The following is a 25,901-nucleotide window of genomic DNA, read 5'->3' as shown; positions in this document are numbered from 1 at the left end:
CAAAACATACTGAGTGCCTACCATGTGCAACGAGCCAGTTGTACCCATCTGCTAGTCTGTGGGACTAGCAGTCACTGACTTTAAGCAAGTCAGTGTATGAATCAATTTCCTTTTCTGTTAAATAGGGATCTGTATTATGATATGTTCTCTCAGGGTTGTTGAGTGAGGGGTTTTAAGAGAGAATGCAGGAAACATGCTGAGCAGGAGATCTGGCTCATGATGTATTCTGAGTAAATGTTAGCAATAGCTGCTTCTGTGTTCTTCAAACACCTCATACTGACCTGAGGTGGTTTCTCTCCCTCCCTGGCCACTTTTCTAGTCAGTAACAGAAAGGTTAAATGTGCCAAATGTTTTACTTTGAGTCCATTCCAGCTCCAATGTTTATGTAAAAAATGATATCATAAAGGGTTGATCTAGTTAGCAAGGTTATTGTGCTTACAGTAGGCCAGAATGTGGAAGCTATCATATTAGTAAAAAAGAAATTGGGCTGGGCGTGGTGGCTCACGCCTGTAAGCCCAGCACTTTGGGAGGCCGAGGTGGGCAGATCACCTGAGGTCAGGAATTCAAGACCAGCTTAGCCAACATGGCGAAACCCTGTCTCTACTGAAAATACAAAAAATTAGCCAGGTGTTGTGGTGAATGCCTGTAATCCCAGCTATTCGGGAGGCTGAGGCAGGGGAATCGCTTGAACCAGGGAGGCGCAGGTTGCGGTGAGCTGAGATCGTGCCATTGCACTTCAGCCTGGGCAACAAGAGCGAAACTCTGTCTCAAAAAAAAAAAAAAAAAATCGTGATACAAGTAAGATCTTTTAAAAATTATTGAATCATCCATCTTGAATTATGTGAGGCTTTATATATGGAAGCAAGAAAATGTTTAAAATTACCTCCCTGCTATTTCCTGCTAGATTGCTGGGGCTTGTTTTCTCTTAATCTTGCCATTGCCAAGCATACATCTGATGCCTGCTGTGTGCCAGGTGTTAGTCTCTCTAATCCTCACAGCAACCCTTTGAAATAAAAGATATCCACATTTTGCAGAGGAAAACATTGTGCCTGAGAGGCCAGTTGCCCTGCCCAGTGGAACCCAGTCGTCTTCTGACTGAGTCCTCTGCTCTTATCGGCACCCACTCTGCCTCAGTCTCATTGTGATGGGGGCATGAAAGCTACTGTCACTAGGAACACTGGCATACCTTCCCCCAATATGGCATCTGTTTCCTTCATGGGGACTGTTTCCAGGACCTTAAGGTCACACTTGCCTACCACAAGCCCTGAAATTAGATGGTTTTATTTTGTCTAAAAGGCCCACTGTGGAAACAGCATGAACTTTGAAGTCAACAATAGGTTCAAGTGGTGTCTCCACCATTTTATTTTACTGCCTATGTGATTTTGGCCAAGTTACTTAAACTCTCAGAGCCTGTGATTCTTCACCTATAAAATGGGAATAATACATACCCGGTAGAGATGTGGAGAGAATTAGAAATAACACAGTAGGCTGGGCATGGTGGCTCATGCCTGTATCCCAGCACATTGGGAGGCTGAGGCTGGTGGATTACCTAAGGTTAGGAGTTTGAGACCAGCCTGACTAATACAGTGAAACCCTGCCTCTACTAAAAGCACAAAAACGTTAGCCAGGCATGGTGGTGTGCGCCTGTAGTCCCAGCAACTCACGAGGCTGAGACAGGAGAATTGCTTGAACCTGGGAGGTGGAGGTGGCAGTGAGCCGAGATCGTGCTACTGCACTCCAGCCTGGGCAACAGAGCGGGACTCCATCTCAAAAAAAAAAAAAGAATGCAGTATGCAGTAGAGTGCTTAATAAGTGCTTAGGACATTGTAGATGCTTATTAACTGGTAGCTACTATCATCACCATTGCAGGGCCTTCTGACTTGTCTTGGGGGACTGAAGAAGCTGTCCAGAGTGGTGGTTAAGAATATGGGCTCTGGAGTAAACTGCTTGGGTTTAAATCCTTGTTCTACCACTTATCAGCTGTGTGACTGCATAACTGAATTCCTTCCTGTACCTCAGTTTCTTCCATCTACAAGATGGGAATAAACAGTTTCTACCTTGTCGGGATAAATGATTTTAAAAAGACGAGAACTGTCAGGAGGTTGAGTTGAAATGAACTTATTTTGATTATCTACTGCCATTGTTTCTTCCCATGACATATGAGTCTCTTTTAAATTTATGATAACATTTCTTCTTTCCTTCCTACTCAAATTGAGATAATTTCTCATTATTTGTATTTCATGCTGATAAAAACATTTGCTATCACATTTTTCCTAGAAATGCAGATTAAATTGTAAAAATTACTATTTTCATCTAAGAAACTGGATTAACTAAACCTATAAAGGACAGCTTTTTATAGAGAAAATAATTGAGAATTTTTTGTAGAATTACTATAAATAAAATCAAGTGTAATAAATAACAATTTTATAGGTAAAAATATTAAAAAACCTAACCAACTGCCTGTTTAAAAAAACACACATAGATATTCCATTATTTCACAGAAATTATTTGATTCTCCTGTTTTAATCTTGAATTTGGCTGGGTTGCATGTGAATTACTCTTTTTCTCCTTCAAGAAGATACCAGTCAGGTGGGCCCATAGTATGTGAATCTACCAGGAAGAAAACAGCCTCTGAATTTACTGTATGTCTAGAAATCAAATTTGACTTATACCCATGGGCAGTGTGTGGTGTTGGCTGGGTTTGCATCATTATTCTGAAGTCTGTACTGATGTCGTGTGACTAATATGTTCCAGCTGTCTAGGTCACTGCTTTGGAGTACTATTTATTTGTAGTAGTGATGCTGCAAATAGGAAAAGCTTTCCCTTTTGTTGGTTGAAAGCTTTCCTGGTAATTGGCAAAACAAGCATGCCTCTTATTTGGAGAGAAACTGGAAAGGCGGCTAAAGAGTCAATTGTACACAACCACTTTGGAAAACAATTTGGCATTAGAGGAGTTGAACACGTGCAATCCGTAGTCCAGCTCTCCTCTCCTAGGTATATACCCTGGAGAAATTCTTGCCTGTGTGTACCAGAGGACACACAGTAGAATGTAAATGGCAGCATTATTCAAAGTAGCAGAAAATTGCAAAATCCCCAGAGGGTCCCCAACAGTAGAACAGAACAGTAAATTGTGGGTATGTTCACACAATGAGAACTGTATCGTGGTGACAAAATGAATGAACTAAAGCCACATGAGTCAACAGGGATGAATCTCAAAATCTTAAGAGGCAAGTCTAGAAGAGCACATACCGTATTGTTTCATTCATAGTAGGCTTAGAATCAGCAAATCACAACAACATATTGATAGCACATATGTGGCAAAACCATAAAGAGGAGCCAAGGAATGATTGACTCAAAATTCAGGCTAGTGGTGAATCTTGGTGGTGGAAGTGGTGGTGAAGGATGATTGGGAGACATGCAATCAGGAAAGACACACACACACGGCTTCCAAAAAAAGAAAAAAAAATTTAAACACTGGTATTAGGTACATGAGATTTATTTTATTATTCTTTACACCTATATATGTTGATAGGTTACTTATCACTGCATAACAAACCTCAAGACTTAGCACCTTAAAACGATAATACACATTTGTCATCTCACTTAGATTCCATGAGTAGGCCAGGAATTTGGGAGCAGCTAAGCAGGGTGGTTCTGACTCGCAGTCTCTCATGAGGTTGCAGTCAAGATGTCAACTGAAGCTGCTGCCATCTATTTGAAGGCTTGACTGAGGCTGAAGGATCTGGTTCCAAGATGGCTCACTCACATAGCTGTTGCCAGGAGGCCTCAGTTCCTTGCTGGTTCTTGGCAAGAGGCCTCAGTTCTTTCCCACGTGTATCTCTGCAGAGCTTCTTGAGCGTGTCCTCATATCAGAACAGCCAGCTTCCCTCCGAAAACAGAGATGGAAGGTGGAGTCTTTGGACTTTTGCAGTCTCACGCCAGCATTTCAGCAATATTGTAGTGGTTCCCACATGCCAGCCCTGTTCCAAGTGGGACGGGACTATACAAGCGCATGAATACTGGGAGGCGGATATCACCACGGGCCATCTTGGAGGCTGGCTACCACAGTTAAACGCACTTTTAAATATAGTATATTTCACAGTAAACATTTTTTTAGAGACAAACTAAATTGGCGAGCTCATTTTTCTTTAGTAATAGTGCAGCCATCCATTTAAATGAAAAGTTTTATAGATACTGAATGTGTTACCAATTAGTATGGGTTTAAAGAAATGTCAGTGATGTAGCTGAGTATTTGAGTGGCCTGAGCTTGCCTGACAAGAACGTACCTGAGGCAGGGGAGTGGGCGGGAAAGGCCATGAGGAAAGGAACTTCAGTAATACTTGCGCCGGGATCTGTGGTGGGAGATGGGATGATACGTGCCTGGACTTCATTCTACGTGTACCTAGATCTGGCAACAATCTGAGACTCTTGATTTTGAAGAGAATTCTCCACATGAAGGGCCATTGTGATATTAAAATCTGTTTCAGCCCCATACTTTTTCCCAAGACCATCTTTAATGAAAAAGGAGAGAAGGGTCCACCCCTTGCTACTCACCCCCACATCTAAGAGCATGGCCAAAAATGACCTAGGCAAGCAAGGACAGGGGCCTTAGCTTAAAAATCTATGCAACGATTACATTCTAATCCATAATTTATACTTGTTTTAATGTTAACAACTTTTAAATTATTGATTCATTTACTTAACCTTCCCTCACCAAAATCTTTGAGTAACACTGATGTTTCTGGAAGCTATGTCATGTTTATTTTTCTTTAGCTTTGTTTGGCTCTTGGCATAACTTCTTAGTGAGTATTCCTGGGGGTCTAAGTGTTCTGGGTTGTGAGGCAGTGAGTCGCACCATCTCCCCTTTGTGGATCCCAACATCCTTGTGAGCAGGTGTTGCAGCCCTCAGGTGAGGAAGCAGCCGGAAGAGGTTCTCTCCATTTTTAATGAAGCTAAAAAGTGGAGGAGATAGGCCTGAGAGCCAGGTGCACGGGGTTCCAGACTGGCTTTCTTTAGGCTTTTGTACACCAGTACTTCGCGTGTTAGTCATTGATACTGCTAACTCTCTGTGTCTACAGAATTCTGGTGATTAGCAGATGAAGCGCCAAGTAGGGCCATCATGCAGAGATGTCACGTTCTCCCCAACTGTAGTTTTGATGCTGCTTCCATCTTTATTTGCGGAGCTGTGTCTGTGGCATTATATTCTAGTGTATTTTGCGTTTTATAAAAATGAAAGGAAAATCCTCAACAGCAAATATAACTGCCTTTCATTATGGAGAGGTTACAAATCGCCAGCGATGCAGTGTGATGCTTGTTTTCCTTCTGTTAGTGAACAGTGTGCTCTTTTGAGGAAGAAGGAAAAAATAAAGTGCATGTATGTATATAAATGGCAAAAATACATTAAGGGTTATTGTGTCTACAAGAGAAGTATAATTACTAATAGTAATTATAGTAATTGGTAATAATGATTATAGTATTAATGGTACTATTAAGAAAGATTGTGAATATATGCTTTCAGGGAGCACACTGCAGTGCCCGGCTGCCTCCCTGGTGTGATGTGTTGTTTGGCCATTTGGCTGTGGGGTTGGTTTTAAGGAAGGCATCATGTTCGGGAGCAGGAGGGTGGAGGTGATCTGTATAGTGAGACAAGCCCAGGGCTTGGGGTCAGAAGACAAATAGGAGTTTAATCTCTGGTGCTTTCTAGTTGAATATCCTTGTCAGATATCATCTCTGACGCTTAGCTGCCTTCTCTGGAAAATGGGATCCATAAACCCTGCTTACCTCACAGGGCTGTGATCAAATGTGATGGGTAATGCCAAAACAGAAGGTATCGTCATGGCAACAGGAGTATGACTTTCAGGCCATGATACCACTTTGCCGCAAACTTGTGTGTATTGTAGTTGAGTATACTGTAGATTGGATCTGAATACCTTTGCTGGAAAGGATTTGAGGAGGTTCAGCAATTCCTGTGTGGTTCTAGGTGGGTACGTGGATGCCTTCTAAGTGTGGTCTCAGAAATCCAAGGTCAGAGTAAATCTCAAGTCATTGAAGCTCCAGTTTTTGTTAGAGTGGATGTTTGGGCTACATCACTGCCCTGAAATTGCTGTGATTCGACAGGAACTGAGGCAAACCTTCAGCTATAAGATGAAGACCTAATGCATGGTGACTATAGGGAATAATAATGTATATTTGAATTTGCTAAGACAGTAGACCTTATGTGTTCTCACCACACACACACAAATGGTAACTACACTGTAAGGCTCTTTTAGAATTTATCTAGCAAGTTTTCTTGTTTTTACCAGAAAACTCCTCAAAAAAAAGGGAATTGTATGAGGTGATAGATATGTTAAGTAGTTTGTGGCAATCATTTCACAATGTATACATATATAAAACCATCACCTTGTACACTTTAAATATATGTAATTTTTATTTGTCAATCATACTTCAATAAAGTTGGAGGGAAAAAAAAAGAAACTTACAGAGGAATTCCTTTATTCCAAAATTTCCTAGAGTGGGTGGGGCTGATAGTTGTTCCCTACATTCAATATGTGATGGGATTATTTTTTCTTTTTTTACTTTTTCCCCTATTAAAAAGTTGTAGCAGTATTTAAATTTAGAGGCTTATCATATATTAAGAACACGTTCTCAACTGAAATAGTATTAAGAGTAAAAATTCTTGGTGATAACACGCATGTTGCTTTGCTTATTCTTGCAGCGTGACGACAGCATGTACGATCCCTGAATGGGCCCGTGGGCATATTTAGTCATTCATTTTTGATCAGGAGAAAGAAGACAGCCATCATTTGAAAGGTAAGTAAATATTTCTATGCAGCTTTTTATTGTAAAACATTTTCAACCATACTGAAGAGAGTTAAGAGAACGTGCAATGAGTTCCTGCCTATCTACACCTTAGCTTTAACAGTTATTAGCATTTTGCCACATTTTTTGGTGTGTGTATAGGTTTGTACATTTTTTAGCTGAAACATGTAGAAGTTGCAGATATTATGACATTTTTTCCTAAATTCTTGGGATGCAGCTCTTACAAATAAGGATATTCTTCCCTGAAAGACCTTTTAGAACTACGTGGCACAGAACCATTTAATTAAATTTATAGTTTTGTACTGAAGTGTGTAACTGAGTTATGCTCCCTTCACTGTTGATAGAAATAAAGTCAGATTAAAAACATTTTTAGGCCAGGCGTGCTGGCTTACACCTGTAATCCCGGCACTTTGGGAGGCTGAGGGGAATGGATCGCTTGAGCCCAGGATTTCAAAATCAGCCTAGGCAACAAGGTGAGACCCATCTCTAGAAAAAATACAAAAAAAATTAGCTGGGTGTGGTGGTGCACACCTGTGGTCCCAGCTATTCAGCAGGCTGAGGTGGGAGGATCGCTTGAGCCCACAAAGTCGAGGCTGTAGTGAGCCGTGATGGAGCTACTGCACTGCAGCCTGGGTGACAGACAAGACCCTGTCTCAAAAAACAAAACCCAAAACCATTTTTAATAGCAAGACCTTGTCTACAAAAAATTAAAAATTTAGCCAGTCATGGTGGCACATGCCTGTAGTCCTAGCTACTTGGGAGGTTGAGGTGGGAGGATCGCTTGAGCCCAGGAGTTGGAGGGTGTAGTAAGCTATGATTATGCCACTGTACTCCAGGCTGGGCGACAGTGAGTCCCAGTCTATCTCTCTCACACACACGGAGAGAGAGAGAGTGATTTCTTTAATGAACAGATAAGTAATATGAATTTGATATGAGAAAAATCTGAATATAAAGGCATGGAACTTGTACTGTACATATACCCCAAGAGAGAAATTACTGTGCTTTCTTCCTGTAATCTACCCATCCCCGCCATGGCTGATGTTTCATGGTTAGGTCAGTGGATCTGATCACCAGCCTCACCTTCTCCCTGATCAAGATTCACAAATAGACCAGGGCTGGGCCTGGTGGCTCATGCCTGTAATCCCAGCACTTTGGGAGGCCGAGGCAGGTGGATCATTTGAAGTCAGGAGTTTAAGACCTGCCTGGCCAACATAGTGAAACCCTGTCTCTACTAAAAATACAAAAGTTAGCTGAGCGGTAGTGACATGTGCCAGTAATCCCAGCTACTCGGGAGGCTGAGGCAGGAGAATCACTTGAGCCTGGGAGGCAGAGGTTGCGGTGAGCCGAGATCACGCCTCTGCACTCCAGTCTAAGTGACAGAGTGGGACCCTGTCTCAAAAAAAAAAAAAAAAAAAAAAAAAATTAGATCAGTCTCTGTGCTCTGATGTGATCAAAGGTCTTAGCTGATTTTTTAAACCTAAACTTATAGGAGAATGTGGAAAGAATATGACTGGTACTGTGAAGTTGATGTTATATAGGTTAATGTATTAAAATCAGCATTAGAGAGATTAAAAATGATTCCCAGCCTCATAATTTGACTACCTACATTGAAACTTTACTTAAAATCTCAAAGACATGTTCAGCTATGATTACAGTTGTAGATCTTTACACATTATAGCCAATTACACCATCAGTTATCTGTGGTTCTTGCAAGATGGCTGTCGACTGTTCTGCTTTCCAATCTCAGTTACTATTTATTTACGGTATCTTCCTCAAGTCGTCCCTGTGTATCTAAGCATTGTTTTACAGACATTTGTGTCTATAAGGTTGCCTATTTAGAGCATATTTTAAAGAAAGTCTATTTAAGTGAGCCATTTAGGGCAGCAGTGGCTTCTTATACTCTCATTTCTGATTTAGAACAAAAGGTCAGTGATAGCAGTAAAGGTTCTTCAAAAGATACTGGCATTCAGAAGGAGTTGTGTCTGGAATCACGGGTAGCTCAGAATGATTGAGTTTTGCTTTTTTATTCTTTGGCCTCTGTATGGTTATGCTTTGAAAAGATGAGGAGGAGTGAGTGGGACTCCACGTGAGGCAAAGGGGGTTTTGAAGGATGAATGAAGGGAAGACATATGGGGTCCTGTCTAGTCCTAGACCACTGAGATATGGTGATTTTAAAAAACTTTCTACTGAAGTAGAAGATACATATGGAAAATAGACATATTATAAGTGTATAGCTCAATATAACTTCACAGATTGAACACATCCATGTAACCAGCACCCAGATTAAGAAACAGAGCATGACTAACACAATCTCATGCTTCCTTTTAGACACTACAGTTGACTCTTAAATAATTTGGGGATTAGGGGTGCAGTTGAAAATCCAAGTATAATTTTGTCTCCCTGAAAATGTAACTAGTAATAGCCTACTGTTGACTGGAAGCCTTACTGACTTACTACATAACGACACACACACACACACACACACACACACACACACACACACACACACATATATATTTTGAGATGCAGTCTTGCTCTGTTGCCCAGGCTGGAGTGCAGTGGCACGATCTCGGCTCACTGCAACCTCCGCCTTCTGGGTTCAAGCGATTCTTCCTCCCGAGTAGCTGGGATTACAGGTGCGTGCCACCATGCCAGGCTAATTTTTGTATTTTTAGTAGAGACACGGTTTCACCATATTGGCCAGGCTGGTCTCGAACTCCTGACCTCGTGATCCACCCGCCTTGGCCTCCCAAAGTGGTGGAATTATAGGCGTGAGCTGCCACGCCCGGCCAATGACATATATTTTATGCATTCACAGCATACCTCATATTTCCTTAATTTTTTTTTCTGCTATTTGTAGGCTATTTGGTTTATCTGTGAGCTTTTTCAAAGTGTTGCAAATCTCCAAAAAAATTTTCCAATGTGTTTATTGAAAAAAATCTGCCTTTAAGTGGCCCCTTACAGTTCAAACCAGTGTTGTTCAAGGGTCAACTGTACCCTTGCTCCATGGATGACTACTCTCTTGACTTCTAGGAGCATAAATTAGTTCTGCATTTGTCTTTTCTTTGTGTGTGTGTGTAATATATAATGCAGATTGTACTCTTTTGTGTCTGGCTTCTCTCATTCAACAACATATTAGATTCCTGCATATTATTGCATATAGTTTAGTTATTGATTGCTCATTTTCATTTCTTTAGAGCATTCCATTGTGGGAGAATATAACAATTTATTTATTTTACTAGATGTGGGTAATTGTTTGGGTTTACCCATCTGGGGCACCCTCCAGAGGAAATGAGAATTAAACAAGGTTTTCTCCTCATCATGGTTATAGTGGAAATAGTACCAGGTTGTGCTCAGCTTCTGCTGTGATATGAGGGAGGAATCTAGACAGCAGCGAGAAGATTGAGACACACTTGGGAGAATTGGGTGTGGTTTCATCAGTCCTGTGCTGATTCCTGCTGCTCTTCCTGTGACTCACCATGTCCCTTCTCACGTCGTTCCCTACTGGCACATGTTTTCTACGTCCTCTTCTCTGCCATTATTACTTTCTCTACAGCCCCTCCAAGGAGACTGTGCAGAACATGTCAAACAACAGGCAATTGATGAATATTTAAAGTTCATTAGGTGTTGATATTAAGTGTTAGGTGAGGGGCAAAGAGTTGAACGTTTGGGCTTGCCCTTGAGGAGCCTGTAGTATAGTTATCAATTCACAGGTATGGCAGTGGGCCACATCCCCGGAAGCCAGTTGTTCTGTAGAGTTCAGGGATGTAAATTCAGAGGCTTACATGGGCCAGGCTGGTAACGTGACTGAAATGAATGGGGTTGCTCATAAGGATTGATGGGCATGGTGGAGAGTGAGTGTATATCCTCTGCCCAAATATCAACCCAACAAACTCTGTCCAGCTCAATTTAGCAAGTCCACCATTTTCCAAACTTTAGAGAGTAGAGTCATCATTATATAATAAGAAAGTGTTCCTCAGAGGATTTGGGTGTTTTTATGGAAAAATTCTGTTTTTATACATAAAGTTTTATTCAAAAAGTCATGCTCATTTGTTTACATATTTTGCTATAACTGCAGAGTTGAATAGTTGCAAAAGAGACCAGGGTTGAGTAGTTGCAACAGTGACCATATGGCCTACAAAGCCTAAAATATTTACCATCTAGCCCTTTACAAAAAAGTTTGCCAGCTCCTGCTTTACTTCATAAAAGCAAGGACATAGTAATCATAACCTCTGTAGTCATGTAGTAATCTGAGCCCATTAAATTTAGTGTTAATGTTCTCATTCATGTATTCATCCAACACGTATTTACAGAGTGTCTATTGTATTTCAGGCATAAAATGGTGAAAATCAGATATGGTTCTTGGTCTTGAGGAGTTTAAAAGAAGCTCCTCTATCACTTCTTGGCCTTTTGGCTAAGATCAAGTATAGTAAAAGAGTCTCCTATGAATTTGAAATTCCATTCCATGATTGTGCTTTCTATAAATCAAAAATATGACATCGTGGTGTAGGGGCATCCCCTGTCAGCTCTTCTAGTTATGCAGGTAGCGCATTTCCGTGTGCACCAACCACATGGGGCTTATTCTCAGCATAGCTGCTTTTAGAATAAAAAGTATAATATGGAAGTGGAACTAAAAATCCTCAATTTAAAACTATTATGTCAGCTATCTTTATTAATTTTATAAACTTGATAAACACTTACCCTACATAATTTGATTTTTTGCTTCCGTAATGAGGAGTATGTAATGTGATGTTTGCACAATTACTGTAGTTTTAAATGTCCTAATTGTTTACATGTGGTAATGCCAGACTGTTTGAAGGTAGCCATGTCTGGAGAAGGGATGAGTTTTGAAGTGCTTACTAAAGCAAGCCAAGCATATGGTCAGTCTTGTGCTACTTTAATAATAAACCTCAATAGAAACAACAGCCAACCAAGATAATAGAGTTTGGATAATAAAGTTTGGAATGCAGCATAACAAATTAATCTATCTCTGTTTGTGTGCTTATCTATTTGCTTATCAAAGTCATAAAAGTTTGTTTCTTCTTAATAGAAAATATAGAAGTATTTTTTTACATTAAGGAATTTGAAACTTGTTTTTAACATCTTTTACACCTGTGTAGCATTTTCATATGTGCTTGTATATATATTATGGGTGGACACTGGGGCTGTGAGTGACTGCCCATTCACCACCCCTACACTGTCCTCAGACCAATGTAAAGGAAGCAAGTCAAACCATATCAGTGAACCATCTTCAGCCATGATGTCTGCATCATTGCCTTCTTTCAGCCTGAGAGGTCTTTCAGGAAGTGGGAATTTGTTTGGATGTTATAGTTGCAGTTATTTAGCTATGTGCAGTAATTCAAAGATGTGAAAATGCAGGAAGCCCTGGTCATACTTACACATGGATTTGGGAGCCATCAGACATCAAATGGGATGCTATTTGTCACCTTTTGAGGCAGTGATCTGGGTGACCCATAGTGCTTTCCTCTGAAATCTTAGGCTTCTGAAGAAACCACAGGGAAGGAATGTGAACTGGTACAATAAATAGCTTAATGAATGTGATGAAAACTCCAAACTGGTTTGTTTTGTTGCCAAAATTAATAAAGTTAAGGTGTAGTTGATCTTTTTTTTTTTTTTTTTTTTTTGAGATGGAGTCTCGCACTGTCACCCAGGCTGGAGTGCAGTGGCACGATCTCCGCTTACTACAACCTCTGCCTCCCGGGTTCAAGTGATTCTCCTGCTTCAGCCTCCCAAGTAGCTGGAATTACAGGCACCCGCCACCATGCCTGGCTAATTTTTTGTATTTTTAGTAGAGACAGCGTTTCACTATGTTGGCCAGGCTGGTCTTGAACTCCTGACCTCGTGATCCTCCCCCATTGGCCTCCCAAAGTGCTGGGATTACAGGTGTGAGCCACTGCGCCCAGCCAATCTTCTTTAGGAGGAAGAAATGATCTATAGCCATTCATGTCTTCTACTTTTTGTGTTTAAAATGTTTTAAAGAATTCAGTCATATTCTTTTTAGTGATTCTATATGGATAGTTGTTTAGAGGAAAAACAAGAATTGAGAAGGCTGAGAAAATAAATATCATAGTTGTTTTCTTACAAAGTTGGAAACTGTAGGCTTAGTTCTTTTGATTAAAAATGAAATTTTCTGAAACAAATTTTTTGATAGGCCAGATTCCTTGTTCTGTGGCATTGGAAAAATGAAGTCTGTTCTACATAATGTGGAGTTATCTTGTCAGGAAGTCCAGCCTCAGAAGTGTTGCTTTGTCAAGACTAGCCAATTAAAATTCACTTGAATAGTCTTCAAGTTTTATTTTTAGAGAGGGGAAAGTACTGAAAGTATAGGTAAATTTAGTTGATAGAACAGAGTGCCTTGGTTGCAAGTGACAGAAAACTCATTTCAAACTGTCTCAAGTGAAAAAGTCTATGGCCTTAAGTAATTGCAAATCTAAGGACTGGATCTGCCTTCAGGAGGGGCTAGACTAAGGATCAAAATGATGTCATGAGGATTCATCTTGGCTACATGTTTTTGGGCTCTGAATGGAGACTTCTAGCAGCTTCAGGTTTGCTTAGTTACAAACAAACTTCCTGGTCATGATGAGTCATGTGCCTCATGCTGGACCAGTGGCTGTGGCCAGGTATATTGGCCTATTCCTATTGGATAGCCAGATCATGTGCTTCACTCCAGGGCCTGAGGTCAGCACATCTTCTGCAGAAGGTGAAGCATGAACTGATGATAGCTGGGAATGGTTCCCTCCAAGGGTGAATCAGGGCAGTTACCAAGAGGATTGGGGGTGCTGGGAGGTACACTAATTATTATAATGATTATTATTAATGTATCTTTTAATGGTTTGAAAAGCATTTTCAGATGTATTCTTGTTTGACCTTTAGGAGATATTGGGGAGGCAGGATAAAGAAGTGATTAAAAACATGGATTCTGGGGCTAGACTAGGTTCAGTTATTAGCTTGCATGAGCTTTTGACCAATTACTTAACCTCTTTGTATCTCAGTTTTCTCAAATGTGCAATGGGGATAAAGGTATTTACCTAAAAGAGTTCTGAGAAGGATCGAATTAATGGACATTTGCAGGGCACTTAGAATAGTGCCTCATGCACGCTAGCCTCTCTATCCCTGGTTATTACTGTCAACCTTTAAAGCTGTCCTGCTGGCAGGGGAGCAAGTGTCCTCTTCATTTGACAGATAAGGAAGTTCAGACTCACATGACCTGTAAGGGTCAACACTGGTTTGGACCTGACTTCTTCCCTGTCCCCACACTTGCCTCTGTGTTATGATTGTGGGGCATTTGGGTTAGTAATAAATCAAGGAAGCAGAGAGGGAAAAAGCACTAGAAAGTAGGCCTGGATTAAAGTACCTGTGTGGTACAAGAAAGGCAGTGTTTCTGTATATTCCACTTGAACGTTGGTCTTTAGCTTCCCACATGAACGGTGCCCCCAGAAACATTTAAGGGAACATTCCTAAGAAGAAATTTTTCCATCCTGCCGGGCACATGCTTGGGACAATCAGCCATATCCAGGGTGGGCACTTGCTTGGGAAATGTTTGCTGATGGTTTAATCAGATCCAGTATTCTGAGTTTCAGAGGAGACAAAGCTTTTTATGGTCAGGAGGTGACTTGAACCCTTCAGTGTGGTGTGAGGACAGAATTGCTGACTCTGAGAGGTTTGGACCACTGCAGAGTGCTGCTCTCACGACCGCCAGCCAGTTCTGTCTGCAAATAGATGCCATTTTCCTCATTAGGAATATTTTCCCACAGTTGTTGAGAATGTTTTGTGGGGAAATTATCCAAATGACTTAATGAAGGAGATTTTTTTCTCGAGACTCAGATGTTGGTATGGCCCAGACATCTAGGGAGGGTCTTGCTGTTCTCTGAGGACAATAGTGATTTCTTTGTATTATTTACTGTGGACTCAGGACATTGGAAGCTTAAAGTATTTGTAAGTAATCTCTGATACGCTCCCAAGCTATGCAGCTATGAAAGCAAGGAAAAACTTAGCAGAAAACACAATTTTGGTGCTCTCTGCCGTGCTTTTGAGGAAAAATAGTGCTTGCCATTCAGCATTCACAAAGCTTGCTGGAGGGCCAGAGCCGCTTCTTCACTGCAGGACAGGCTCTGCCCTGCGGTTGCTGTTTCCTTGCAGACGGCCACTGTGCCTAGGATGTGGGAGTCTCAGATATTTCATAAATGGATCATGGCTTTGTCTTTTTCTCAATTTCTTTTGACAAGAAATTGTTTACCATGTAGATGTCTTCAAGAACTTCACCTGTGAGTCCTGCATTACTTCTGTCTGGACACATCACATTGTTTTTGTTGTTTCTTTAGATGGAGGATGTGGTGTCTGAGTATTGATCCCCACACCTGGCTTTACAATGGTGTTTTTATTCCAAAGAACAACACCTATTCAGAGAGTAAAGGGATTAGCTACTTATTCTAGAAAAATGACCCTAAGTTTGCCAAATATTTGTGGGAATTATAATAGGTTCTTAGATGTAATCCCATTTATTTTGTTCTTAGCTCCTTAGGAGTCTTTTGCCTTGCTGCATAGTCAGGGATTGAATATTAATAGTTCCTTCGTTGCCTTTAACCTGACCCCATTTTACATCTGAGAAAACAAGGTCAACCTTATTTCCTGTAATGTCAGCAACAAAAGCAACAACATTATTATTCATTATGTGATAGGCACCACTCTGAGTTATTTTGTTGGTTATCCTATTTCATATTCTCCACAACTCTGTGATCATTATTCTCTAGATGAGGAAATTGAGGCATAACCTGCAGCCTCAGGATATGGCTGAGTGGCACAAGTCTGCTCTTAGCATCACAGACGCTGTACTGCCGACTGGTGTGGCCAGTGTCCAGTCCAGGGTCTCTACCACTGGCTGCACATTAGAATCACCCTGAGGGATTTTAAAAGCACTGAATGTGCAGTTCCATAACTCCCCGCTCCTTACATACTTATTTACTTGGTCTGGGGTCTCATTGGAGGTTGCTGTGCATTCAAAACTGAGAATATTTTTGAACTAGAGCAATAGTTCTTAAAATTTGGTCCCTGGGATGGCAGTATCAGGTAACTTGTTAGAAGAGGAAATTCTCAGGCCTCACCCAGACCTACTGAATTGAAACTCTGGGGGTGGGGTGTGGTGATCAGTGTTTTAACAAGTCTTCCAGGTGATTCTTTTTTATAAAACATATTGTAGTAAAAACACACAACATAAAATTTGCCTTCTTTACTGTTTTTAAGTGTATGGTTGACTCGTGTTAAGCACGTTCACATTGTTGTGCAACAGATCTCCAGAACTTTTTCACCTTGCAAATCTGAAACTTCATACCCATGAAAACCCATTAAACAACTCCCCTTCTCTCCCTCCTGTAACCCCTGGTAGGAACCATTCTACTTTTTGTTTTCATGAACTTGACTACTTCGCATACTTTGTCTAGGTGGAACTCCAAGTGATTCTTAGGCATGCTCAAGTGTGAGAGCCACTGAACTCCAAAACTCAATTTGGCTCTCTCCCTATAGTTGCCCACTCACGTCATTAATATCAACCATATTGTAAATCCCACACTCCTGTGCATGCCCCGCTCTTTCTAGTCCTGTGTCTGCCACCTTGATGTTCTGTCACTTTGATCAAGTTACTTAATTTCCCCGAGGTGATTCCCTTGTCTCTATAAGTGAGGGTTGAGGGGTTTGGGGGGGGGTCCCTAACTTGCTGTGGTAAATGTTAAATCATTAGACACTTGTGAAAGTAATTTGTAAGTTGTCAGATGGTATAATAAATATTAGGTATAGATTGTAATCATCGTCTCTTTTTAAATTGTAGGTTTTGTTTTTATTGCAGTCATACACCTTTGATTTTTTAAAGGATTCCATAGTTCCACAAGGCCTCTTGTGGACTTAAGTTCCTGTTATGCCTGTTATGCTTGTTTCTCTTCCTCCTCCCCCATTTCTTATCTGGTGTTTACAGTGTGTAAACAGGATTCACAAATGTGCTGGGTAATATAGTATAGTTTGATTACTTTAAATTTTCTGCACACACACAAATTGTGTTTTCCTTGGATTTAGTAATTGTGTCTTTTAAAGTTTTTCTATGCACTTACCACTACTTTAACCATAAACAGCCTTCTATGTAAATTTCCTCTTAATATTTTAAGCCATATCAGCTATCTTATCAATTACATCTCGGAGAAATCTTACCTGGAGTCTTACGCTTTGCTCCAGTCCAGACTACTTGCTCTCTAGGCCTGCTGTGTACCACATCTTGGGATCCTCTCTTTAACACCTTTCTGGGCATTTCTTATATCTTGCCTATGTATTGGATTCCCAGTTTCCCTCATTGCATATTCTCTTCTTTCTTGGTTTACTCCCGTATTTGGGAGGAGCACATTTTCTGGAAGTGTCCTAGAAAATTTCATATGGGAGGTAAGACTTTTGTGTTGTTATATATCTGAGACTGTCACATTCACGTTTAATTTACAGTGTGGCTGGGGATAGAATTCTAGATTAGAAATCACTGAGCTTCAGAATGGTGAAGGCATTGCTCATTATCTTTTAGTATCTAGTGTTGATTGTGAGAAGGCTAAGACTGTCTCCCAGTCCTTTGTAGGTGACTTCATTTTTCTTACTTTTTTCTCTCGGGTTTTTCATTCTTTTCTTTATTTTCAGTGTTCTGAAATTTCATAATATTCCTTGGTGGGGTCTATTTTCATTTCTTGGAAACTTGCATCCTTCATTTTTAGAAATTTTCTTGAAGTGTATCATTGTTGAATTCCCCCCTCTGTTTTCTCTGTTCTCTCTGTTCTTTCTGGAATTCTGTTAGATATTGACTTACTGTCTTATGACAGCCTTACCTTTTCTTCTGCTTTCCGCATCTGCTTTTTAGCTGTATTCTTAGGATATTTCCTACGTTTACCTTCTAACCCTTCTATTCAATTTTTCATGTTTGTTATAATGTTTTTTTAAAATTTTTTGACAGTTTTTTTATTCTCTGATTGCTTTTATTGTATAGAATCCTACTATTTCATGACAGCATTTTCCTTTAGTTCTCTGAGGAGGTTAATGATAACTTTTTAAGCTTTTTTTGCATAGTTTTTATTTCCTTCAAGTTGCTTTTTTCCTCTGTTTCTGTCTTTCATGTTAGATATTTTCTTTATGATCTTTGAATGTCCATTCATGATTAAGAATGGGGCTTTACAAACTGGAAGATTTGGCTTATTGGGCCTAAGTTAGTTGCTGTCATCTATCAGATTTCCAGCTTTAAAAAGCTTAACATTTTAATCTTTGTCCTATTATCTTTGTCCTTGTAGATTTATGCATTTAAAAAGAAATAATTTTGTGGTGTTGGGGTTTTAGGAGGGAGAGAAGCTGAATATGTGTGTTCATCCACTGTCTTTAACTGGAAATCAATATAGAAGTCTTAAAAAAAAAATCCAGGTCAGAATTTGCAGCATTGGTATTTGTTCAAACACATACCTGCGGTGGTGAGCATTAGCTTGGTGTTCTATTATTTTTTAAAGCATGGTATATATTTAGATGGTCTCAGCAGAGATCTTGGCTTTCTTGTTAACTGTGCAGCAGCTGCCTCTTTTTCTTAGCTAAGAGCTTTTATTTCAGGTGTTAAAATACCAATAAATTTATAAATGATAATTGGGCCTTGTGATAAAAAATAAAAATTGTAGAAAAAAATCCTTATTGATGTTCCTGAAAGAATTTTCCAAGGGTAAGCATATAATCCTTAGATTAAAATGCAGCTGACACATTAAGTCTTCTTACATGAAAAGCTGAATTAATAGGTTTTAATGCCATTTGTCCTTGACCACCCACAAAGGGCATTCCCGCAGGCTAAAGAGACTGGACATAAATACCGCAAAGGGAGCGGGGCTGTATTTGTGGTTTTGATCCCTCATAAATGCTTCCACAAAGCATTCAAGCTCAGACCATCAGAGAACAGGTAAAAAGCTATTGTTAGCCTTTCTGATAGCAGGTCTCTGCAAAAATTAAGCAGTTTTAGAAGAGCAGAGTGGTTCTTTTACTATAGGCTAACTGACCTTGGATTATTTCATGATCTGCTCCTTGAGGTGATAAGCTCAGTTGCTTCTTGTCTTTTCTGAACGTTACATGTATCCTCTGTCAAATACCAGTCCTTCCTTCTAGCTTACTGGAACACTTAGTCATTGTGTAGTAACCAACATGGTCATTTCTGGCCCTGGCGCTGATTAGATAACAGAAGTCCCCTTCACAAGCTTCGCAGCTCTGTGCAGTAGCAGCCCTTTAATAGCTGTAACTTCACCACTGGGAAAGGAAAGGAAAGGAAAGCCTCTCTGCTTTCATGCTGATTGCTATGGAAGCTTGCCCAAGATACTTCCCCTTGCATGTGCAGGGCTGTGTGCAAAACAGAGAAATTGCTTTCCACTTAAAAGCGTTGGCCTGTTATTACTCTATGAACCTTTGAGGAAATCAGATTCAGAGGTTTCCTAAATATAGAAAGTTCCTTTCTCTCTTGTTATTAAAGCCACAAACAATCTAGGGGTAATTTTTTATATTATTTTGAGGTTGCATTAAAATTAAGAGGAAGGACAGTACTGCAGAGATGCCTGGTTGTTTGTTGGGTTTCTTAAAAGGACTAAATATGAATAAATTACGAATTCTTGCACGTTAGGAAAGGGACCTTTTGTTGTTGTTGTTGTTTAATTAGCTACTCCTGCCTTTCTCTATACTTTTTTTATGTCTTCTTCATGCTCTCCAAATCTGTCTTCTTGTTCCTAATGTATATGGTAGTGAAATGAACTGTAGGAGCTATGTCCATTAAAGACATAGACAAGGGTTTTTATTGCTAAGAGGGAACCATGCAGAAGATGACAAATTAACTGACCATCACCCAGATTGGGTTTTCCTGAGCTGTGTCATCCCCGTTGATCATCACAGTTGTTGCCTCTGCCACAAGTGCACTTTTAAAGCTCCAGCCCAAGCAAGTTACCCCTAGCTTAACGGAAGCAGCCTGAGTCTTCCAAAAGACTCCTCTGAATTCTGAGGGCCAGCCAAAGAAACTAAACCTTTTTTATGAAAAGGAAAACTATCACTGTTCTTTGTAGATACTACCAGTTTCTGATCTTGCCTAGAACTAGTTCACTCCCAGGGCTTTAAGTCCCAGCTCTATGCAGTATTTATAGATGACAGGATAAAAGAGCCAAGGAAGAGCCAAATACTTACAGTTTCCAAGTGGATTTAGATTATTTGCCCATAGGACAACCATTGTTTCACATTCTTTTCTTTTGCCACCATGGTGTTGGCACTTAGCATGTGGTAATTATAATTTGGATTCTTTAACACACTTCTATTGGCAGAAGCTTATGTATATACATGTGGTGCAATGGGTGACATCAAAAGTGCTCTCCGGAAATAAGGGTTGCACTTATGACATAGATGATTTTCTGATTCAAAAAATTTGTGAGCTATTATGAGACAGACAACAGCTTTGTCATTAGTCATTTGAGATTGTTATGAATAGGCCCCTCATCTGGTTGAGAATTCACGTGCCCAGCTTTTCTATGGGAAAAATTGTTCTTCAGACAGAGCATGAATGAAATATTCTATCTATTATGGGACTCCCCCTGCTTTTGGAGGGGGATGAGAAGAAAGGGTGGCATTTATGGAATTTGGCTATTCTGCCAAAAGGGGCGTGCTCCTCCAGTGGCAGCTGTGGTGGCTGCTGGGAGGAAAGTGGGGACAAGGGTGACTCTGAGATGAGTGTACTCGATCAGGGGCTTCAGAGGTTGCTGGCTTTTCACAAGAGACCTCAGTATATGATGCCTGTGTGGAGGTCACAGTTATGACATTCTCTGAGAGATTTACTGTTGGGTCTATAATGAGGATGAACTGGCCATTGTGTTTAAAGAAGTTGGGTCTCACCTGCAGGGTGAGCTGCCTCAGCACATCCATTACCTGTCTTCTCAGTGGGTACCTCATGGATCAGAAGCTGGGGCCGAGTAATACAGTGTTAGGTGGTTGGTGTGGTTCCCATCTCCTGCTTGACTTTTGCTGGGAAAGTGTCTGTAGGTTCCACTCTCTCTAACATGGGAAGTGATGCCAGAGGGAAAGGAAGAGGCAAGGCAGATGCCGCTGAGGTTGGTGCTGTAGTGGACATAGCTCAGGCAGGATGTGAATGGGGCTAGGGCTCTGGGAGTAAAACAGCTCTGGGAAGATCAGAAACATGTGTTAACATGAACAGTTATACTTCTTTCCTTTATTTCTGTTTTGATTTTCTGTGGAACTTAAAAAGCCTTTCAGAAGGTATTGGAAATGTATTTATGCTTGGGCCATAGCTTTCTTGCTTTTGTTTTTTCCCTAGCCTTATTGAGATATAATTTGTATACAAAAACCTTCACATAATTAATGTATACAATTTGATGAGTTTGGACATATGTATACACTTGTATTGTATTACCACCACCACAGTCGAGATAATAAACATATCTATCACCTCCAAAAGTTTCCTGTGTCCTTTGTGTGTGGGGGGAGGAGGGTGACGGGGGTAAGAACACTTAATGTGAGATATACCCTCTTTTTAAAGTTTATTTATTTTTGAAACAGCATCTCACTGTCGCCCAGGTTGGAATGCAGTGGCACCATCATAGCTCACTGCAGCCTGGAACTCCTGGGGTCAAGGGATCCTCCTGCCTCAGCTTCCCAAGTAACTACAGGTGTGCACCACCATGCCTGGCTAATTTTTTTATTTTATAGAGATGGGGTCTTGCTAGGCTGCCTAGGCTGGTCTCGAACTCCTGGCCTCATGTGATCCACCCACCATAGCCTTATAAAGCGTTGGAATTGTAGGCGTGAGCCACTGTGCCTGGCCCAGATATACCTTCTTAAATTTTTAAGTGCATAATGTCTTATTGTTAACTATAGGCACTATATTGTACACTATGTTGTACTATGTATGGAACTTACTCATTTTGTTTTGTATGTAACTTCATATCTATAGAACAACAGCTGCCCATATCCACCCCCGTTCCCTGGTAATCATGTAGTATTTGTCCTTCTGTGACTGACTTATTTCACTTAACATAACGTCTTCCACGTCTATGTTGTTTCACATGGTTGAATTTTCCTCTTTTTTAAGGCTGAGTAATACTTTGTTTTATATATATATATATATATATACACCACATTTTCCTTTTAAAATGTTTATTCTTTTAATTGACATATAATAATTACATGTACTTATGGGATACATAGTGAGATTTCAATACATATGATGTGGTGTGATCAGATCAGGGTAATTAGCATATTCATCATCGGAAACATTTGTCATTTCTTTGTGTTGGAAACATTCAACATCTTCCTACGGTACCACATTTTTCTTTATCCATTCATCTGTTGATGGACCTCTGTATTGTTTCCATATCATGGCTGTTGTGAATAATGTTGTGATAAACATGAGCATGCAGGTATCTCCTCAAGATCCTGATTTCAGTTCTTTTGGATATATACCCACAAGTGGGATCACTGGGTCATATGGTAGTTTTTAACTTTTTGAGAAATTTCTATCTTGCTTTCTATAGCAGTTGCAATTTACATTCCCACCAGTAGTGTGCAAGGGTTCCAACTTCTCCCTGACCTTACTAGCACTTGTTATCTTTTGTCTTTTAAATAATAGCCATTCTCACAGGTGTGAGGTGATATCTCATTGTGGTTTTGATTTGCATTTCCCTGATGATTAGTGATGTTGAGCATTTGGTCATAAACCTCTTGGCTACTTGGATGTCTTCTTTGGAGATATGTCTGTTCAATGCTCATTTTTAAATTGGGTTATTTGTTTTTATTGCTATTGAGTTTTTGGAGTTCTTTATATGTAATAGATGTTAATCTTTTTTCAGATATAAGGTTTGCAAATATTTCCCCCATTCCATAGGTTGCCTTTTCACTCCGTTGATTCTTTTCTTTGCTGTATACCATATCTATTTTTGCTTTTCTTACCTGTGCTTTTGGTGTTATATCCAAGGAATCATTGCCAAATCTAATATCAAGAAGCTTCCCCCCTGTGTTTTCTTCTAAGAATTGTATAGTTTCAGATCTTATGTACAAATCCTTAATCCATTTTGAGTAAATTTTTGTATATGATGTAAGACATGGTTCAATTCCATTCTTTTGGATATAGATATCCAGCTTTCCCAGAACCCTTTATTGAAGAGACTATCCTTGCCCCATTGTGTGTTCTTGGCACCTTTCTTGAAGATCAATTGGCTATATGTACATGGGTTTATTTCTGCATTGTTTATTCTGTTCTATTGATCTGTATGTTTATCTTTATGCCAGTACCATAATGTTTTCATTACTGTAGCTTCATAATATATTTTGAGATCAGGAAGTGTGATATTTCCAGCTTTGTTCTTTGTTTTTCTTGCTTAAAATTCTTTTGACTATTTGGGGCCTTTTGTGGTTTCATACAAATTTTAGGATTTTTGTCTTTCTATTCCTGTAAAAAATTTTCTTTGGGAATTTGATCAGGATTGCATTGAAACTGTAAATTGCTTTGGGTAGTATAGACATTTTAGCAATATTAATTCTTCCTATCCATGAATACACGAAATCTTTACATTTATGAGCAAAGTTTTATAGTTTTGTGTACAAGTATGTTACCTCCCAGGTTAGGTTTATTTCTAAGTATTTTATTCTATTTGGTGCTACTGTAAATGAGTTGTTCTTAGTTTCCTTTTTGGATTGTTTTGTTGGTGTACAGAAACACAACTCATTGTTTTTGTATTGAATTCATTTATTCTAACAGTTTTTTGGTAGGATCTTTAGGGTTTTCTACATATAAGATTATGTTATATGCAAACAGATAGTTTTACATTGGATACCTTTTATATCTTTTCTTGCCTCATTGCTCTGGCTGGGACGTCTCGTACCATATTGAATAGAAGTAGTGAGTGTGGGGCATTCTTGTGTATTCCAGATCTTAGAGGAAAAGCTTTCAGTTTTTCTCCATTGAGTATGATGTTAGCTATGGGCTTTTCATGTATGACCCTTATTTTGTTGGGGTAAGTTATACTTAATTTGACAGTTTTTATGGTGAAATTTAAAACATCCTGTTGAATTTTGTTAGATGCTTTTTCTGCAGCTATTGAGATGATCATGTGATTTGGGCCAAACTTTCAAGGTACATAGAATGTTTACCCTGGTGCAACAGTGATAATAGGGACAGAAAGTTCTGAGAGGAAAGCTAGTCTAGGGGTGCTAGGTCTTCTGGAGGGTTCTCTCTTGGTGTTGAAAACGCTGATTTGTGTTCTGTTTTAAATGGTGGAGATGAGACAGGTCCTATAATTTATTTCATTACTATATAAATACAAAAAGGATCTTTTTCTAACTGATAGGCACTCACAATTTATGTGTATTTGGTTTTTAAAAAATCAAGCAACCTAAGCATCTTTGCAGTACAGTGTTTTCTATTTATTTTGGCAAAGGCATAGAGTCATAGTTTTAGAAATGAAAACTGTTCTTCAAATACATTCTTATGCAAAAACTCAGTGTACAAAACAGATGATTGTGTAGCTGCTGGGGTGGAAGGGTCCCTCCCATCACCCCTCTCCTCTCTCTCTCCCTTCTTCCCCCAACCCATCTCCTACCTCCCCTCCCATAACAACTGAAGAGACCTTGACAACACTGCAGAGCACATTTGAAACAGTGAATTCTGTCATTTCACAGGCAAGGAATTGTGAATTTTTTAGGTGTTGGCAAATGGATGAGAATGTTAGAGAACAAGCAGCAGGTGGAGATTTACCTCGTTACCACCCTTCCCTCACAAAAGGAGGGCGCATAGACTCTGATTACTCAATTATCTGGAAAACCTGTGGTGTTTGGGTTACCTTGTATTCTACAGTACTCTAGTATCCTTGGTTACAAAGCTAATTCCAGGTAGTTTCAGAAGTTGCTTCATTTTGCCTAGAAGAAGGGACACAACCCTGCAGGAGGTGGCCTTTGTCCTGGGTCCTGGACTTACACAACACAGTGTGGTCAGGGGCCAGAGAATACCTGATGCAATTCTCTTCCTAGCTAAAGAGATAGGTGGCTGACCTTGTTGTCAGAACTGTTACAAGATACATGGTGGTAGATTCTCTCTCATTTTCCTTTGTTGGTCTTCAGTTGTCATTAGAACCTTCTTTGGTGATGTGTAAGAGCCCAGGTTCTGAAACAGATGGGACAGATCTAGGTGCAATTGCTGTGACTGTGACCGTATCAAAGTTACTTAACCTTCTAAACTCCTATTTTTCTTACCTGCAAAATGAGGATGCCATTTGCCTCGGAGTGATTTTAAGGATTAAATGAGATTATATGTATGTGTGCATATACTTATGTGTGTATTTACACATTCATAAGATTTCTATATATAAATATTGGTTTTATACCCACATAAATATACAGATTTTTATATCTGTCATATATATGTGTATATATATGCACATTAGATATGTCTAGTGCTTTAGTACATGCCTGACACATAGTATGCGTTAAATACACAGCAGATGTTATTATCATTCTATTATATATTACTATATTATTCTGTAAGTATACTCAAATATTGTGATGTGCTGGACACTATGTGGTGCCACTCTCCGTGTGCCAACCTCCCAGATACAGCAGGACTCACTGCAGGAAATGGAAAAGGTGCCAGGCTTTGCTTAAATTGTATCCCGATTCCAATTTGCTTTCCTTAGTTAATATCCTTCTGAGTCTTCAGCCTTTGTCTTTTCTTAATGACCATTGCATTCCTTTAAAGTCTTAACTATTGAAATTGATATTGGTCTGTTCATGACATTTCTAGGGGAGGGAATGTGAGCTGCCTGGGCAATAGCAAAGTAGCCTCATGTAGATATATTTTCTTAATCTTTTTACTTATTTAAGTTTGCTTTTCCTTCATGGACACTAAAGGAAAAAGTATTTGTTTATAAAAAAATTTATTAGGCAGCTATTGGTTATTCTATTTCTTGCTAGTAATTTGATTAGAACTTTGGTCAGCAAGGGATAACAAGTGTTTGCAGTTGGACTTGGTAAAATTCTTGCCA

At 39.7% G+C, this 25,901-nt stretch overlaps 1 protein-coding gene and 1 pseudogene across 8 annotated transcripts in view; both read left to right on the top strand.

The window, feature by feature from the left end:
* The window catches only part of SGMS1 (sphingomyelin synthase 1), a 319,585-nt gene that overhangs the window by 28,222 nt on the left and 265,462 nt on the right, over positions 1-25,901 (top strand). For 7 of the 8 annotated variants that reach the window (XR_007061953.1, XM_047424974.1, NM_147156.4 and 4 more), the window contains exon 2: positions 6,716-6,810. The gene's annotated coding sequence lies outside the window, so the exon portion shown is untranslated. Of the gene's footprint in view, positions 1-6,715; positions 6,811-17,056; positions 17,260-25,901 lie in introns of those variants that run through there. The other variant, XM_047424976.1, reaches the window with a different exon arrangement.
* On the top strand, positions 6,251-6,311 carry RNU7-107P (RNA, U7 small nuclear 107 pseudogene; annotated as a pseudogene).

The sequence above is a fragment of the Homo sapiens genome, chromosome 10, assembly GCF_000001405.40.
Source record: "Homo sapiens chromosome 10, GRCh38.p14 Primary Assembly".
Classification (NCBI taxonomy): domain Eukaryota; kingdom Metazoa; phylum Chordata; class Mammalia; order Primates; family Hominidae; genus Homo; species Homo sapiens.
This window is presented reverse-complemented; position numbering and strand designations above follow the sequence as displayed.